Source organism: Homo sapiens, chromosome 7 (genome assembly GCF_000001405.40).
Source record: "Homo sapiens chromosome 7, GRCh38.p14 Primary Assembly".
NCBI classification, from domain to species: Eukaryota; Metazoa; Chordata; class Mammalia; order Primates; family Hominidae; genus Homo; species Homo sapiens.
Window position 1 is genome coordinate 18,453 of NC_000007.14, and position 18,392 is coordinate 36,844.

Sequence of the window (18,392 nt, forward strand, 5' to 3'; positions counted from 1 at the left end):
AAAGCTTATAATTGCATTCCTAAAGAGCTAAGTGCAGGAACAGCAAAATGGTAAAACGAATTCATTTCTTCTTTAAGAAAATATGGGTACTAAGTTACAAGACTGTAACCACTTAAGATGCCAACCACAAACAGTAGGTTCCCAGGTTACCTTCTGTCTGACTTTCCTACAGATTGGAGACTCCCACAACACCCTTATTGGGTTCAGCAATTTGCTACATCACATTACACAACCCATGAAAGCAGTGTACTTACTATTCCTGACTCATTACCAAGGATCTTTTAAACACTACAAATGAAAAGCCAGATGAAGAGATGCACAAGGTGAGGTATATGGAAGGAATGCAGGCCTCCCATGCCCTCGCCAGATATGATCCTCCCAGTATCTCTTGTGTTGGGAGAGCAACACAGATGCTCTCCCAACCCTGTCCTTTATTACACAGGCAGATTGGTTACGTCTGTGGCCATAGGTGATCAACTCAACCATCAGCACCTCTCCCCTTCACAGAGACGGGACGGGGGAAGAAATTTCAAATTCTCTCATGACAAGGTTGCTTCCCTTGGCAGCCAGCCCCACTGAGGCTGTCCAGGTGCCCCCAGCCATCAATCATTTCATTAGCGTACGAAAGACACATTACTTCGTACATTCCCAAGGCTTAGCGCTCTGTTTCAGGACACTGCAGCAGAGACCACACATTAACTCTTATTACGTTCCAACAACCTATAAAACGGAAGAAAATGTCTGCACATTAGATACTTCATCAGTGTCTGTTATCCAGAATGTATAAAGAACTTTTACAACTCCATAGCAAAGACAACCCAATCTAAAAATTGACAAAAGACACACTTCACCAACAAGCACATGAAAAGATGCTTAACATCATTACCATAATTAAAACCATAAAGAGATAACCCTTAACTCACACAAGAATAGTTATACTAAAAAATAACAAGTGTTGACAAAGATGTGCAGAAACTTGAACTCTTAAACACTGCTTGTGACAATATGAAATGGTGCAGCCTACGTGTAAAATAATTTGATGTTTCCTCATAAAGTTACAAATAGATTTACCATATGAGTTAATGATTCCATTCCTAGGTATATACCCCAAAGACCTGAAAACAACTGTTCAAACAAAAACCTGTATGCTCTTTAAATGTGTCAAGGTCATAAATATGCAGGAAAGTCTGGGGAACAGTTCCAGGAAAAGAAAACTGGATCCTAATAAAAAAAAAAAAAAAAAACACATTATACTCCCAAGTGTGGCATGAGGTAAAACTGAAGTGAGTTTGTGGACCGAATTATCATGTAGGAACAACGCTGATTTCCTGATCTAGGGGTTATGTGGTAGTTACCTGGGAGAGTGTCCATGCTTTCAGTACAATATACCGGAGTATTTTGTGGGACACTGCAAATCTGGTACAGCAATAACTGTTGGGGAATCTAAGGGAAGAAACAAGCTGTACTTTGTACTACTACTGGAAGTTGCCTAGACATATGACATTATTGGAAAATAAGTTACTTTTTAAAACAACCATGTCAATACCATGCCAGGAAAGCAGACACATCATCAAAATCCATTACAGAGGCTATAGTTCAGCCAAAGCTGTAAAACCCTTAACAAAGTCTCAATGTCAACAGAGTCCACTTAGTAGATATTATTATATTTATTAGTATTAGAGGCCATTGTGTCAATATATTAGTGTTAGGGCATGGTATGGATATTTAGATTAGTGTTAGGGAACGGTGTGGATATTGTATTGGTGTTGGGGAATGGTGCAGATATTACATCAGTGTTAGGGCATGGTGTGGATATTATTGCATTAGTATTAGAAGAGATGGTGTGGATTAGATCAGTGATAGGGCATGGTGTGGATATTATTACATTAGTATTGGAAGCGATGGTGTGGACTAGATCAGTGATAGGGCATGGTGTGGATATTATTACATTAGTATTGGAAGCGATGGTGTGGATTAGATCAGTGATAGGGCATGGTGTGGATATTATTACATTAGCACTGGAAGCGATGGTGTGGACTAGATCAGTGATAGGGCATGGTGTGGATATTATTACATTAGTATTGGAAGCGATGTTGTGGATTACATCAGTGTTAGCGCATGGTGTGAATATTATATAGGTGTTAGGGCACGGTGTAGATATCATAGTAATGTAGAGCACAGTGTGATTATTATATTAGAGGCCACTGTAAGAATATATATTAGCAGCCACTGTGTCTTGGACGTTGACAATGATATTAGGGTGTACTCCAAATAGTGAGATTTGGGGGCTTTATTTTTCTAGATGAATTTCTTCCTCTGCTGAGTGCTCTAAAGACTCACTCCTTGGCACTCAGGGCCGTGGACAGGAGCTTTTTACTCACCAATGAAGAACACCAAATTAACACGACCCCCGTGCTGCCCTGAGGAAGTTGAAGCTCCTCGCTGCTTCTGGCACTTCAGCGGGAAGTTGGTTGGGGCGGGATCGCGCGCCCTCTGGTGGCGCCATGGTTCAGCACAGACGCTCTTGCTCACAGTTTCTCGGCGGATGTGCGCCCCCTCCTGGCTGTCCTGAAATACCTATAAAATTCAATATTCAGTTTATTCAGTGTCATAATTTTGGAAATTCAAACCGAAATAAAGGCCAGTATATCCATACCCTTCCCATAAATGGTGATGGAAGAATTATTTGGAAGCCATATAGAATGAAATGACTCTATACACAAAGTAAAACACAAAAACCTACTCAAAATAGTCCAGAGACTACAACTTCAAATGCAAAACTATAAATAATCTAAAAGAAAACCTAAGAGACATTGGATCTGGTGTTGAGTTTTAACACACAGCATCAAGTGCCAATTCGTGAAAATACTGAGAACAGACTTTATAAAACTAAATTTTCTACTATGAAAAACCCTATTCAGAGAACAAAAAGACAAGACACACTGTCAGAAGATATTTACAAAATACAAACGTGATTTTAAAAACTGTATTGAAAATACACAAAGAACTCTTCAAACGAACACTAAGAAAACTAAAAACCCAAATAAAACTGGGTAAATATCTGAACAGACATCCAGCCAAAGAAAATATATAGATAGCAGGCCAGGTGTGGTGGCTCATGCCTATAACCCCAGCACTTTGGGAGGCTGAAGCGGGTGAGTCACCTGAGGTCAGGAATTTGAGATCAGCCTGGCCAACATAGTGATACCCCCTCTCTACTAAAAATACAAAAAAATTAGCCAGGCATGGTGGTGGGTGCCTGTAATCCCAGCTACTTGGGAGGCTGATGCAAGAGAATTGCTTGAACATCGGAGGTGGAGGTTGCAGTGACCCAAGATCACGCCACTGCACTCCAGCCTGAGTGACAGAACGAGACTCTATCTCAATAAAATAAAAAAAAAAAGAAAATATACTGATAGCACATAATCACACAAAAGGATGCTCAATATATCTCATTAGGAGACTGCAAATTAAAATAATGCTGAGATATCACCGCACACCTAGTACAACTGTGGGACTCTTAAAAAAGCTCAACAGTAACAATTGGAGGTTGAAGAACAATAGGTACGGCCATTCATTACTGGCAGAATGCATGAATGGGTACAGCCACTTTGGGAAATAGTTTGACAGTTTTTCCCAAAGATAAACAAGTGTTACCTTACAATCCAACAAATGCACCCCTAAATTGTGTATGTTTAGACAGCTGCTTTGAAAAATTATGTTCAAACAAAAACTAGCATGTAATTATATACGAGCCACTCTACTCATAATGGCCAAAACTTGAAGTAGTCAGAACGTTCTTCAATAGCTGAATGCATAATCAATTTGAAGTACAACCATGCAATGGAATACCATTCACCAACAGAAAGGAATGAACTGTCAATCCATGAAAACAAATGAATGAATCTTGCATCTATGTTGCTAAGTAAAGGGTGGCAGTATGAAGATGCTATACATTATATGACTCCATTCATATAACATTCTGGAAAAAGCACAACCAAAGAGATGATAGTCAGATCAGTGACTGTCTGGGGTGGGGATTTGAAGTATTCTGTATGCTACTTCAGTAGTGGATATCTGACACTATGCATTTGATAAAACCCACAGAATTTTAATGCACAAAGAACAAATCACAAGCTACACAAATTAAATTATTTAGGATGTGGAAGTATATAAGGACAAAATACAGAGTGCAACCAAGAATCTAACTGTATTACCAATGTATGTTGCAAGTGGTGGGCCAAAGGTGCTGAGCTGGAAATGAGTAGAATCCATACACTAAAAACAAAACGTACTATATACACGAACAGTGGACTCTATTTTATAAAGTTATTTCCCATAGGGATAATAGTTAATTTTGAAACTACTATATCTGTAAAAAGAAAAATAACCATGATTTTCCTCTATACTATCAACACTCCACTTTTAACAGCAAATTGTGGGGGGTGGGGGGTGTTTCCCATACCAACCAATATTCCAACTCTCTGGAAAACAATTGGGTATCCTGTAATTCAACTGTGACACTGATTACCTGGAGTTAGTATACACCCTACAGGTTAAGGGCTTAGTAACACCAGACTGTCCACAACCTCAGATGCCAATCACAAGTTGTGAATCCCCAGTTTACCCAAACTTCTATATGACTTGGCTAGAAACTAGGCATTCCTACACCCCCTCTTCAGGTTTGACAATTTGCTATGATGGCTTATGGAACTAGGAAATACTTACTTATGTTTACTAGTTATTATGGTCTCAATGTGTGTACACCCCCACCCCAAATTCCTATTTTGAAATGTAATCCCCAAAGGGATGGTATTCAGAGGTAACCGAGAGGTGATCGGATCATGAGAGTGCTGTCCTCATGAATGAAACCAGTGCCCTTATAAAAGCATCTAGGAGCCCGTTTCCCCATTCTGCCATGTCACGACATGCTAGAAGGCACTATCTATGATAGATGAGCCCTCACTAGACATCAAATCTGTCAGCCTTGATCTGGAACTTTCCAAATTCCATATTTTAGGAATTTTTATGGAAGCTTCATCATGTAGACATGACGGATTATTAACTCAATTTCCAGTCCCTTCACACCCTCAAAGGATTGCATGTTAAGCTAAAAGTTACAACCTTCTTATCATGGCTTGGTCTTTCTGGTGACCATCCCCATCCTGAAACCATCCAGGAACCCACAGAGTGTCCTTATTAGAACAGAAGCCATTCCTATTATCCAGGAGATTCCAAGAGATTTAGGAACTCTGCGTCAGGAACCAGGGCCAAAGACCAAATATTAGAACACAAGATGCTCCTAGCACCCCTACTGTTCAGGAAATTATAATAGTTTTAGAAGCTCTGTACCAGGAACTGCAGACACAGACCAAACATATATTTCTTATTAAGTCCCAACCTGGAATCTTGATCAAGAATGAATTCCTTGTTCCCAATGGTACAAGGGATGAAATAAATGGCAGATAGTAGGAGCCAGGTTCCTCATTATTACAGTGAGAAGTTACAGATAAAAAATAGGGAAGCCTAGAATGATCTCGGTCATAATGAGTCAGAATGTATATATACAACGTAAGTATAAACTCACATTCAGGTTCCTCACTATTACAGCGAGAAGTTACAGATAAAAAATAGGGAAGCCTAGAATGATCTCGGTCATAATGAGTCAGAATGTATATATACAACGTAAGTATAAACTCACATTCAGGTTCCTCACTATTACAGCGAGAAGTTACAGATAAAAAATAGGGAAGCCTAGAATGATCTCGGTCATAATGAGTCAGAATGTATATATACAACGTAAGTATAAACTCACATTCAGGTTCCTCACTATTACAGCGAGAAGTTACAGATAAAAAATAGGGAAGCCTAGAATGATCTCGGTCATAATGAGTCAGAATGTATATATACAACGTAAGTATAAACTCACATTCAGGTTCCTCACTATTACAGCGAGAAGTTACAGATAAAAAATAGGGAAGCCTAGAATGATCTCTGTCATAATGAGTCAGAATATATATATACAACGTAAGTATAAACTCACATTTAGCTTAACATATACATAGATGGTTCCACATAGAAACCTTTATAATTAAGTGGGTACATATAAGTTAGAAGACACACATATATTTCTTTGCACTGTCAGCTGTAAGTGTCATGATGCAATGACCACATTTAGTGGCCAGATGTAAGTTTTTCATACCATTCTCTAACAAAAGAAATCAGGGCTATTAGAAGAAATAGCTGAAACTAGGACTGGGACAGAAAATATATGAGCCAGGGTACTTTTGAAGTAACAGAAATAAATTATAAAAAAAACATGAAATTATGTAAAAGGAGCCAGTGGAAAGAGCTACCAATGGCCACAGGTATGAACAAAGAGCAACAAAATACTGTACAATTAGATAACAACCAAAAGATTAAAGTAACTATCTGTGGACCCATACTGGTATAAATAAATGATTAAACAGATATGCAAATGGGCTGAATAGAAATCTCTTATACAGAAGAATTCCAAATACCTGATACAGACAGCCATCAAGGAGGTGGGGCTAACTCCCCACTCCTTTAAGTATGAGCTCTGCATGATGACTTCCTCCAAAAGCATACATACAATATAGACATGGGAAAAAAGTAACTTTACAGTGAAAAACCTGAAAACACTGCCTCAACCAAGTGATAAAAGTTAACATTAATGGTGATAACACATCTTGAGAGCATGAAGTGACTAGACTAGCACTTGCAAACCAAAAATAAAATTCAAAGATCTTTCCCCCAACCACCTCTCCACCAGGGGACACCAAAGTTAACCTGGAAGACTGGTTCAGGCTATGATGGGAAAGAGGTGGTCAGACATGCCTCATTATGCCCTCCTCCCTTTTGGAATTCAGGAAAAGCCAATCAGCATTTAACATCAACACAACCTTAAATCTGATAAGAAACATTTACAATCTATTCTCTCTGAAGCCTGCTACCTGGAAGCTTCATTTCCATGATAAAACCTTGGTCTCCATAACCCCTTATCATAACCCAGACACTCCTTTCTATTGATAGTAAGTCTTTCAACAAACTGCCAATCAGAAAAATTTTAAATGTACCTATAACCTGGAAGCCCCCCCCCCCACCCTAATCCATTGGGTTGTCCCACCTTCCTGGACCGAACCAATATATATCTTAAATACACTTGATTGATGTCTCCTATCTCCCTAAAATGTATAGAACCAACCTGCACCCCAACGACCTTGGGCACATGTTCTCAGGGTCTCCTGAGGGCTGTGTCAAGGGCCATGGTCACTCATATTTGGCTCAGAATACATCTCTTAAAATATTTTACAGTCTTTGACTCTTTGTGTGGACACACTACACATCTGCTCTGCTTCCCCCAAACCCCTAAACCCAGGCTGATTATGAGAAAAACCCCAAGTAAACCACAATGGAGGACATTCTACACAATACCTGACCAATCCTCCTAACACTGTTCCAGGTCCTCAGAAGTAAAGTCTGAGAGATTGTCACAGCCAAGAAGAGCCTGACATGATGACTAAATGTCCTATGGGATCCTAGATAGGATCCTGGGAGAGAAAAAGGCAGAACTAAGGGAAACCAAATAAGATGTGAGCTTATTTAATAATATAGTAATATCCAGTCATTAAGTATGACAAGAAATGATGTAAGATGTTGGTCAGGAGTGGTGGCTCATGCCTGTAATCCCAGCACTTTGGGAGGCTGAGGCAGGCGGATCACCTGAGATCAGGAGTTCAAGACCAGCCTGGCCAACGTGGTGAAACCTCATCTCTACTAAAAATACAAAAATTAGCCGGGCATGATGGCAGGCACCTGTAATACCAGCTACTCAGGAGGCTGAGGCAGGAGAATCGCTTGAACCTGGGAGGCGGAGGTTGCAATGAGCCGAGATCACGCCACTGCACTCCAGCCTGGTTGAGACTCTGTCTGAAAAAAAAAAAAAAAAAAAAAAAGATGTTAAACCTATCTGATACATGTTGGTATGTTAAAAAGCGGGGAAACTAGGTTGCGTCTACATGGGAAATCTGCATTTTCTTCCCAATTTCTGTATGAATCTAAAACTAATTTAAAATAAAACCTCTATTTAAAAATTGTAATTTTTTCAGATATCTGCTAAATTATTTGTACTAAAAATTAGTAATTGACAGTAACTACTCCTACTTTTAAAAATAAGAGCATTCATGATACTGCAAAGTAAATTATACAGACTAATATATACTTTCAAAGAAATGCCCCTTTTACATGTTTTATGTTAAGATAACATATATGTGTAAACATGGTCATATCATTTTCCTTATGGTGTAGTTCACTCTCTAAGAAAGCTGGTCATCTTAGAACCAGGGAAAAAAATTCACATTTTGGAGACTATTTCAATTTACGGCTGGACGTTTTCAAAGTATGACTCTGCGAAAAAAAAAAAAGTTCAAATTGATTCATTGTGACTGGATCACTTATTCTAATGAATGCTTGCCTTTATTTTGTTTCCCAGCATTCCTTTCAGCTACGATACAAAAGAAGCAAATATTTGCCACTGGAAAAAATATTCAAAGACACTCTTAGGTTAATCTATAGCTGATGACAGTCAGTCTAGTCTACATAGCAAGCAGCTTCAAGATATGATTACTTAGCTAAGCGGGAAATGGGACGTGACTGCTGCCTCATTCCCACGCCTCTCTGGACCTGATAATTTAGAGGAAGCTCACATTCGCAAGATAAAAATTTTCTTTTCCTTCTCAGTATTAAATATGCTGTCACAATAGAAGAAAGCTTTACTGACTTCTTAAATGACGTGTTGAGACCGGAACCCTAAAATGATAGTTACTGAGGATAGTGCTAATGCCCTAAGACCGGAAACCTAAAATGATAGTTACTGAGAATAGTGCTAATGCCCTAAGACCGGAAACCTAAAATAATAGTTACTGAGAATAGTGCTAATGCCCTAAGACCGGAACCCTAAAATGATAGTTACTGAGAATACTGCTAATGCCCTAAGGTTTTAGTCACACCCTCACCTAGGCAGGAACCCAACCAAAAGGGGAGAACTGTGGAACAAACTACGGGAGGTCATTGTTTCGGTCACCACTCCCGCATTAGGCCACACTGAGCAGGCAAAACCAGAATGGAGACACTCACGCTGAATGACACACAACGAAGCTGAAACTTTAAGGAAGTAGACAGATCCCAAAAGAGCTCCCTTTTTCCCTGAAGAGATTCCAGTCTACCTGAGTCAGCATAAAGAAGTCCCCTCTGCTTTAATTCTTACCAAAACAAGTAACTTGAAGTAATCTGATGTTAACAAATCAGTTGTTATTTTCTATTGCTCTATTTCCGCCTTACACAACACAGTGTTCTGCTATTGCCCAGAGGGCACTGAGACCAAATAAAACTTGAAAATGCCACACTGAAAGCAAATAAGTACTAATAACTCAATTTACAACGATAACAAAGAGTGACACCAATGCCCAAAGTTTTGATCAATATCTCAAAATTGAGAGGCTGACCAAAAGGGAGGAATTCTTACATCAAACAACATTTGGGCTCTAGAAGCCTCCCAAGGAGTCCTTGTAAAGAGTCGCGGCCGGGCGCCGTGGCTCACGCCTGTAATCCCGGCACTTTGGGAGGCCAAGACGGGTGGATCATGAGGTCAGGAAATCGAGACCATCATGGCTTACAAGGTGAAACCCAGTCTCTACTAAAAAAAAATACAAAAAAATTAGCCGGACTTGGTGGCGGCAGCCTGCAGTCCCAGCTACTCGGGAGGCCGGGACAGGAGAATGGCATGAACCCGGGAGGCGGAGCTTGCTGTGAGCTGAGATCGCGCCACCGCACTCCAGCCTGGGCGACAGAGCGAGACTCCGCCTCAAAAAAGAAAAAAGAAGAAGAACAAGAAGAATCGCAACCTAATTTAGTATAGAAACAAACTGTAAATCTGACTTGGGAATGTATCATGGTAACAAATAGCGGCGGTTCAGCCAATCACATCAGCCGAGTGTCAGTCAATGGCCGGCAGCCAGCTGTTCAAAACAAGTTCCAAGAAGGCAAATCCGGGCTGTAACCAGGTCTGTAACCAATCCAGCCACCTCTATACCTCACTTCTGTTTTCTGTATGTCACTTTTTTTCTCTGGCTATAAATATAACCCGCACATGTTGTGTGGCAGATCATTCTGAACCATTTTTGGTCTGGACTGCTGCCTGATTCTAGAACCACAAAAAAAGCCAATTAAGATCTGCAAACCCACATTTGTTGTAATTTTGTATTTTAACAGTTGTGCCCTACAAAAGACATTAAGCTGAAATTAATTAAAAATCATTTACGGTCATGATTAGGTCATAAAAAATTGTCAAACATAACAATTCTTCAAAAAAAGCTAAAAAGTATATTTTAAAAACATTGTTGATGGAAAAAAGAGTGCAAAAGTAGATAGGAAAATTATGTACAAAACTAAAAACAGAGGAGAAATTAAAAGTCAAATAATTGCATCAAACTGGAAACCTAGAAAAAATGGGTGATTTCCTAGTAAAAATACACATTAACAAAATGGGCACTGAAATAAGGCAACTATGAATATACCAATTAGCATAGAAAAGCTAAGAAAGGTCCTTAAAGATCTCCCAGTGGAAAAAGGCCCCAGGACCATCTGGGTCCATAGCTTAGTGTAAGCTGACTTAACTAAATGTGATTTTACACTCGTGCATTGCATACATACGATGGTGGTCCCATGAGATAAAAATGGAGCTGAAAAATTCCTTCCTAGCCATCTTGTCATAAGCTCATGGCTCAACGCATTACCTTTTCTCTGTTCTGATACCATGAAAGGAAAATAAATCTCAGGACCCCCAAATCACTAAGCCAAGGGAAAAGTCAAGCTGGGAGCTATGTCAGGCAAACCTGCCCTCATTCTATTCCTAAGATAGCTACAAAGATAAAAAGCTACATACCTCACTCACAATTTGCCCACAAAGAATTTCCTTTTGGACAAAGGACAGACAGCACTCAAAGTCATCCCTCACCTGAGACAGATGCATATCTGATTGCTTCCTCTGCCCTATTATTTATGTAAAAATGCAGATTCATTGAGCCAGACTAAATTGTGTATTCAGTGGAAGGCTGATGAAGGATTCAAAAGAATGCAACCTTTTGTCTCTAACCTACTTCTGACCTGGAAGCACCCCCACTTCCTGCTTCCAGTTGTCCCGCCTTACTGGGCCAAATGACTGTACATCTTACACGTCTCATGTATCCCTAAAATGTACAAAAGCAAGCTCTACCCTGGCCACCTTGGACACACGTCGTCAGGACCTCCTGAGGCTGTGTCATGGGCGTGTCCTTAATCTTGGCAAAATAAGCTTTCTAAATTGACTGAGACCTGTCTCAGATATTCTGGGATCACAATCTACAATCACCATGGTGTTATGGTTGACTACAGCATTCAGTACAGAGACATGCTGTACAGGTTCGTAGCCTGGGAGCAATAGGCTATACTATGTAACTTAGGTGTGGAGTGGGCTACACCATCTAAGTTTTATAAGGACACTCTACAGTGTTCACACAAAGATGAAATCACCTAAGGACAGATTTCTCAGAAAGTATAACATCGTTACGAGATGCCTGAGTGTATTTTAAATGGTCAAAGCCTAGGAGAAAAAAAGAAACTTAACTCTTGTTATGGGTTAATAACGAAGCTTAAGAGAGTTAACATATTTCATCTAATCTAAGATGCCAATGATTAAAAGACATTACTTTATGCACCATCACAAATAGGTTGCCAATTAAACCGACTTTCTGAATAACACACAAATGTGAATTTACTTCTATTAATGCCAGGAAAGTAAAATGAAAAATAAATTATGGTTTTGACATGTTAAAGCAAATACGGCGGGGGTTAGCCTGAGGCCTTCCCTAAGCAAACAGAAACCGAACTTGGAGGCATTTGAACTGACTTAAAAAAATTAACAAACCAACCACAGTCAATGCCAAAAAGCCCAGCAGCCAGTTGGCTGTATGACTAGGGACGCTGAGGGAACCATCCCCACAACAGGCGGTGGCCTAGCTGGAGCCACTGAGGAGCCTCACTTAGGGGCCACCCTAAGAGCTCGAAGCCCCATCCGTTCTGGTGCTTCCTGCGTGATTCATGAACCATTCCTTTGCCGAAATAAACTCCGCTTAAATTTATTTTACCTAAAATCCTTTTAACAGACAAAGTCCAGTATTTACACTTAAAACACGGTTGTGAAAACTCACATCTACATCTGCTCTTCAATATTTTTCAAGTACTTTAACACTCTAAGAAAAACGAGCCACTGGAACGCAAATAAAAGCAAGTCGTGGGGTGCGCGTCTCCCTGGGGCTCTCCATGTTGCCCTCAGGGTTTCTCCCTTCTCTGTCCCGGATCCACCCCAAACAAACCCAAATTGGTCAAAAATTAAAAAATGAAACAACTCAGGTATGCTGTAATAATGAATAACAAAGCCACTTAATGATGGGCCACTTTGTAAAATAAAATAAATACAACTTGAGAAAGTGGAGCGCGAGGCAGCGCGGCCTCCTCCGCACTGAGCCGGGACAGAAAGCTTTTTCCTCACCTTTCCTCGGGCAGCCTCGGGGACCATGAAGCCACAGCTTCCCCAGTCGTTCCTGAGGAGCTGAGGAGAAGGAGGCTGGGTCGTCCCTGGCCACGGTCCCCAGGTGTTCCTAGAGAGCCAGCGGCGTCTCCCGAGTGGGTCCTGAGGAGGAGGAGGCTGGGCCCTCTCAGGTGTCCCTGTAGGGATGACGGCGCCTCTTGCGTAGGTCCTGAGGAGACGGCTCGGCTCCGCCCCCTGGAGCCGCAGGCCGTCTGTGCCGGAACCCGGGCGCCGCTTGAGGTTCTGTGAGGCGGCATCGCGCCCCCTGACGGCCGTCGCAGGCGGTGCAGGATGCTCAGGTGCTCGCGGTCGAGCTGTGGCCTCGCCCCTCCGGTGGATCTCCGAAGTTCACTGTTCTGACAATTACACGCCATGACTTTTGAAAAACCAGCTGAGGCCGGGCGCGGTGGCTCACGCCTGTAATCCCAGCACTTTGGGAGGCCGAGGCGGGCGGATCGCGAGGTCAGGAGATCGAGACCATCCTGGCTAACACGGTGAAACCCCGTCTCTACAAAAAACAAAAAAACAAAAAAAAATTAGCCGGGAGTGGTGGCGGGCGCCTATAGTTCCAGCTACTCGGGAGGCTAAGGCAGGAGAATCGCTTGAACCCGGGAGGGGGAGGTTTCAGGGAGCCTCCTCTAAACAGAAAAGACCGACCCCTAGTCAGTGTTTTATTTTCCCTGATGACCGCAGGCCATGAACTTATGGAACAATAACGTAATTAGGCTCTTGGACCCAGGGAAGTAGCTCCATGCCACCTGCCCTCATTTGCTGAGCATTTTGGTTTCTCGGATCTGCTACTCAGTTTCCAGTCTCCTCCTCCCTGCCAATGCTGCCAGCGTGCCTCTTCTGCAAGCAGCAACCGCCTTCCACCTTCCATTCTCTACTCTTTAGCCATCATCTGGCTGGACTTTTCAGAATGGACTGCAAAGGAGAATAAACTGGCTGAGTCTGAGGGTGCACTCACGTGCAAAGTTGCAAGCTTTAATGTACCCATCTTGGCAGATTTTGGCTCCTTAGAGTTCTTTCTCATTTGGGGATCTCATGTGCCCTCTGATGAGGTGGGCTCACTGACTGTCTGCGCTGGTGGCATCTGGCAGCACCTTGTCACGTGCACCTAGGTAAGAACCTGGCTGCACCTGATGCTTAGCCAAACGGGGAACCCACAGTTCTGTGTATCAGGTGATGTTTAATCTCTGGAGGTTAATGAACGTGAGGGAGCGATACTGTCTGGGACTCTCCACATATTGCGTCTGAGTCACTGAAGGAAAAGAATGTGGGGTCTGTTTGCTGGGACTGGACACCTCCATAATCACATGCTCCATGAAATGCAGGCAGGAGATCTCGCTTTCTACCTCTGGGATGGGAGTGTGCAGTTTCAGAATGAGACTAGCCCACACAACTGACTATTTGGGAAAGAGAAATGAAATCAGATGCAGCAATTTAATATCCACTAAGATGATATCTTAATCACAAACACTCTTCTGGTTTTTAGAAATGTGAATGTTATTTACACTAGGTTAAAAAACCTGAATATCCAACAGCATGACACCGACTAAAGAAATACTGGCGCACTCTGGAACCTTGCACACCACTTATTGGCATGGGAACAATGGGAACACGCCTATGCAAAGATGTGCATGGAAATTAGAAGAATGCAACACTGTAGAACAGATGTGACTAGGTGCATGATCAAGAGCACACAAGACCAAGCCTGCCTCTGCACACACAAGACAGCGCCTGAGTCTGCACCACGTGACGGGACCACTGTGGAGCAAGCCTGGGAGATTCTGATGTAGGCAGCAGAGGCGTCACTTAGGGACCAGACTTCCGTGGGAAACCACCATCTCCTTCCAACCCAGATGCGCTTCATGGCAAACGCGAGCAGATGAAGGTCATGTAGGAGACGAAAGAACTCGCTCCCCAAGCCCATAGGCCTTTGTCCTCCACCCATGGACCGAAGCATCTTGTTAGATGAGGGCCGCCCGCAGCCAGGGCCGGCGGAGAACCTGCCACGGAGCAGGTGTCCGTAAAGAACTGCTGACTGTCACTGTCCCTACTTGGGGGCCACTGGGGGATCTGATGCATCTCACTACCCTTTGTAAAGGAATTATTGAAAATGTCAGCCCTCTAACAAGGCATAGGTTGATTAGTTACAGGATTTAACATTTCTATTTTAAAAGGCAGCATTGAAGAATGTCTTTACAAAGGCTGTACAAAACCTGCCATATTCTTTGTCACACAGATTGACTCATGTGCAATGCAGCCATTTCATGAAACACTGGCATTTACCAGATGTAAACTTATTAGCAGACGACAACTAGAAATAGTGTGCTGGATGTGCCCGTTTATTTATATGAATATAACCATCTCTCTAGATGCATCGAAAGATACACAACATGAGATCCACTTTATTTCTACAAGTTTATGATCAGGTGGTCAGGACAGGGAAAGAAGAGGAAAAAACTTTAAATCATGGACCTTTATTCTTAGACAGCTTTATCCTACATACACAAGGGACATGCATGGTTGAAATAACGGAAACAAGTGGATAAAAGTGAAAGTAACTTAAACTGCTTTACCCAGGAATGCCCAATTCAGGTGCTGCAGAGAAGAGCATGAGAACCGGGTGTCTTCAGGACAGGTGTGCATCTGGGAGCAGAGTGGGCGTTCATCAGCAGGGAGGAGCAAGGCCTGGGTCGGGGGACACTGGGGCTGCTGTCCCAGAGGCTGGCAGTGTAGCTCTGAACCCCCAAGACTTCACTGAGTCTCCCCTCAACCACCTAAACCAGAATAAACTGATGTAGCAGGACTCCTCAAACACTGTGCAGGGTCTCCATGTCCTCGATGGCCCCTGATGAGCCACAGTACCCTCAGGTCCTGGTGAAGGAGCTGGTGCTGCCTCCTGCCTTTCCCCACATGGGGTCCTGCAGCTCATCCCACACAGCCTCAGATTCCCTCTACAGAACCTGCCCACAGATGTCTTCCGAGACCGGCAATACTGGGAGGCCTGTGGCCCAGACCCAGGAGGAACCAGCTGAGAGGCTCCGTGGAGGTATCGCTGATGGTGTAACCAGAATGAAAATGCCCACTTCTGTTCTGCTCCCTGAGAACAATTGTCAAGCCAGCATGAGTTTCCAGTTGGAACTTTTCCTTTTCTCCCCATGTTTGTCGCTGTTTTAATGGACATTGCCTGGCTATTAAATCCCCCGATGAACTCACTTTGAAAATTATCTTTTGCACTGGGCACCCTTTCAGGAATCACTGAGTGTTAATTTTCTCAGTCTGAGTGATAATTTATGAGTCAAACAAGGACAGATCTGAAGCCAGAGGCTGCTCCTGTTGGGAAATCCCTGAGGATGATGTTCCAGGGAAGCCTCCAGCCTTGGGAGTCCCGTGGAACTGAGCCAGCCCAGGTCATGAAGGGAGCTGGTGCCAGACACTGACTGGGGACCTGCTGGCCTCTGGGCAGACCGCTCTGTCCCTGCACTTGGCCTGCCAGGTATCCCTGTGCAGTCATACCAAGTCCTGTGCTCAGAAGGGCCCCAGAGTAGTTTAAAGCTCTGCTGCCGCCCCTGGAAGCTCATGATTTTGAACAACAACAGCAAAAAAAAACCCACGTTTTCCACTCGGCCCCACACATTATGTGGCCTGCGCAGCTGTCAGGCTGTGGCCACAGTGCTGGCATCTCTCACACAATGAAGGCTGCTGGAGTCCTGGCTGACTTGTTTTGACTCTTTTGTGAGGCCCACACCTAAGCTAAACACTCACGTGCCCCCACACTGACTCCCCACACTCTAAAGCATGAATCTGCCCCTTCAGCTGGGAGAGGGTCCTCGTGTCATCTGGGTTTTTGGAGAGAAGGTCAAGGGAGCCTGGGTTCTAGTTCTTCAGTAATCAAGAGTAAGGGTCTTACCTGTTCACAGTTCCCTGTGGCTGCTTTACAGAAAGCAGGAAGTGGCCACTTCAGCCACACGGCTGCATTTCCAGCTCAGTCCAGGCAGAGCTGCACCCTGCCTTGCACCTCTGCAGATCCTGAGGGGAGTCCTTAACTGAGCCAGGGCGAGTCCTGGGGGCACTCTGCCCCTGTGGACACTGCCCCTGGGCAGGCCATGAATCTCCTCTGCTCCCACACTCTAGAGTTCAACGGGTCTCAGGGGCTCTGCCTGAGGACTGCCCTTCAACCAGGTATTCGTAATTTCCCCAAGACCCAGGCTTGCTGAGTCACTCAGTTACCTGAATGCTTTTTTCACAAAGGGATGACTGTGCTGCTCCGTCTTCCTTCTTTTTTGTTTGCAAGGCCACAGGGAAATCTGGATCCTCTGGTGAAAAAGCAAATCCAGTTGCTGCTGCTGCTGCTGCTGCTGCTGCTGCTGCCGCCGCCGCCGCCGGTTCTTGTAAATGTCCTCACTTGGTTTCTGGGCAGCAACTTCCTTGACTTGCCTGGGGAGCGGATCTGAGCTGCATTTACCAGGCCATGCCCAGGGGAAGTGATCAGTGTGGGACCGTGAAGCTGGATTTCCCCAGGAGCTGCCTCCAACCTTCTGGGATGATGATAAGACTTGGGATGAACCAAGGATCTTGAACCATGGGACAATGTGAAGTCTAGACCTAGTGGAGGAAGAGAAAGGCTACGGGAAGGGCAGGCTTCACGTTACTGAGCATCCGCTACCTGCCACACACTTTCACGTGGCCTTATTCTGTGTGTTTCTCACAGCACCCTTGAGAAATAGAGACTACGATCACATCTTTTACATAAAAGAAAACCACCATCCAGGGAGGCGAAGTCCCTTGCTCACAGACTGTCATGTGGGAAGCTCTCTGGATGCAATGATGTCCTCCAGTTGCAGTACCAGGCAAGCTGTCCCAGAGTTCATGGAGCGGAAAGGCTCGAGAAGCAACTGAGGATGCTCGAATCACAGGTTTATAAAATCCATTCATAAAACACAGCAAGAAGCTGAGGGAAGGAGATGGGAGGGCCGTATGACCTGATTCCTGTGCTGTCAACATTCATCAGTTCTCTTCTTTCTCTGCTAGTCAACCTCACCCACTCAGGTGTGACCACGAGGACCAGAGCCGAGGTCTGGGCAAGAGTGCTCACAGCTGAAGGGCTTATGACACACACCGGCTCAACGGGACAGACATGGGACAAGTGTGCCTGATCATGGTGGAGTTGCCAAGAAGCAGCTGTCGCACTGCCATGGGTTCTACGTGTTTCTTGGGCAGAGGACGCATGGGACCAGAATGGGCACCAGGAATGGTGGTGAACAAAGGCCCCATGGTTCTGCATGTTTAGGTGTCTCTTGTATAAAGGCACATTGTGAATTGAACATTTAGTGCCCAGGAGCCTCATGCATATTAAGTATCTCTTGGCCCTTGTGTCTCTTCCTTCCCACATGTAACATACCTGTTCTCTGTAACTATCTATTCTGAACGTATCTAAAAACCATGTCTTGCCTGTGTTATACAAACCACATGCATACTCACGTTCTCTGATGTAGCTGAATGTTTCCTAAGGCCAGGGCACATTTCAGGGTCACATAGAGTGGAGAGAGGGACCAAAATAGCCTTGCTCTGTTTGACTCCCAGCCGAGATGTCTGCTGGGCAGCACTGCCTCTGTAGGCTCTAATGGGGGAAGGGAGCTCAGGGGAGCCTCTGGGGCTGGGCAGGCTACCAGAGGGTGTGGACATTTGGGTGGACCCTGACGGAGGACTTGGGTTTCCTTGGGAGGAAGTGTCAGGAAGG

At 43.8% G+C, this 18,392-nt stretch overlaps 1 long non-coding RNA gene across 1 annotated transcript; it reads right to left on the bottom strand.

The window, feature by feature from the left end:
- Positions 1–1,166: 1,166 nt before the first annotated feature.
- On the bottom strand, positions 1,167–17,052 carry FAM157D (family with sequence similarity 157 member D). Its single transcript, NR_197581.1, has 4 exons — positions 16,883–17,052; positions 12,608–13,154; positions 2,382–2,577; positions 1,167–1,443 (listed from the first exon to the last, which is right to left on the bottom strand). It is a non-coding gene; the product is annotated as a family with sequence similarity 157 member D (long non-coding RNA).
- Between the last annotated feature and the right edge of the window lie 1,340 nt (positions 17,053–18,392).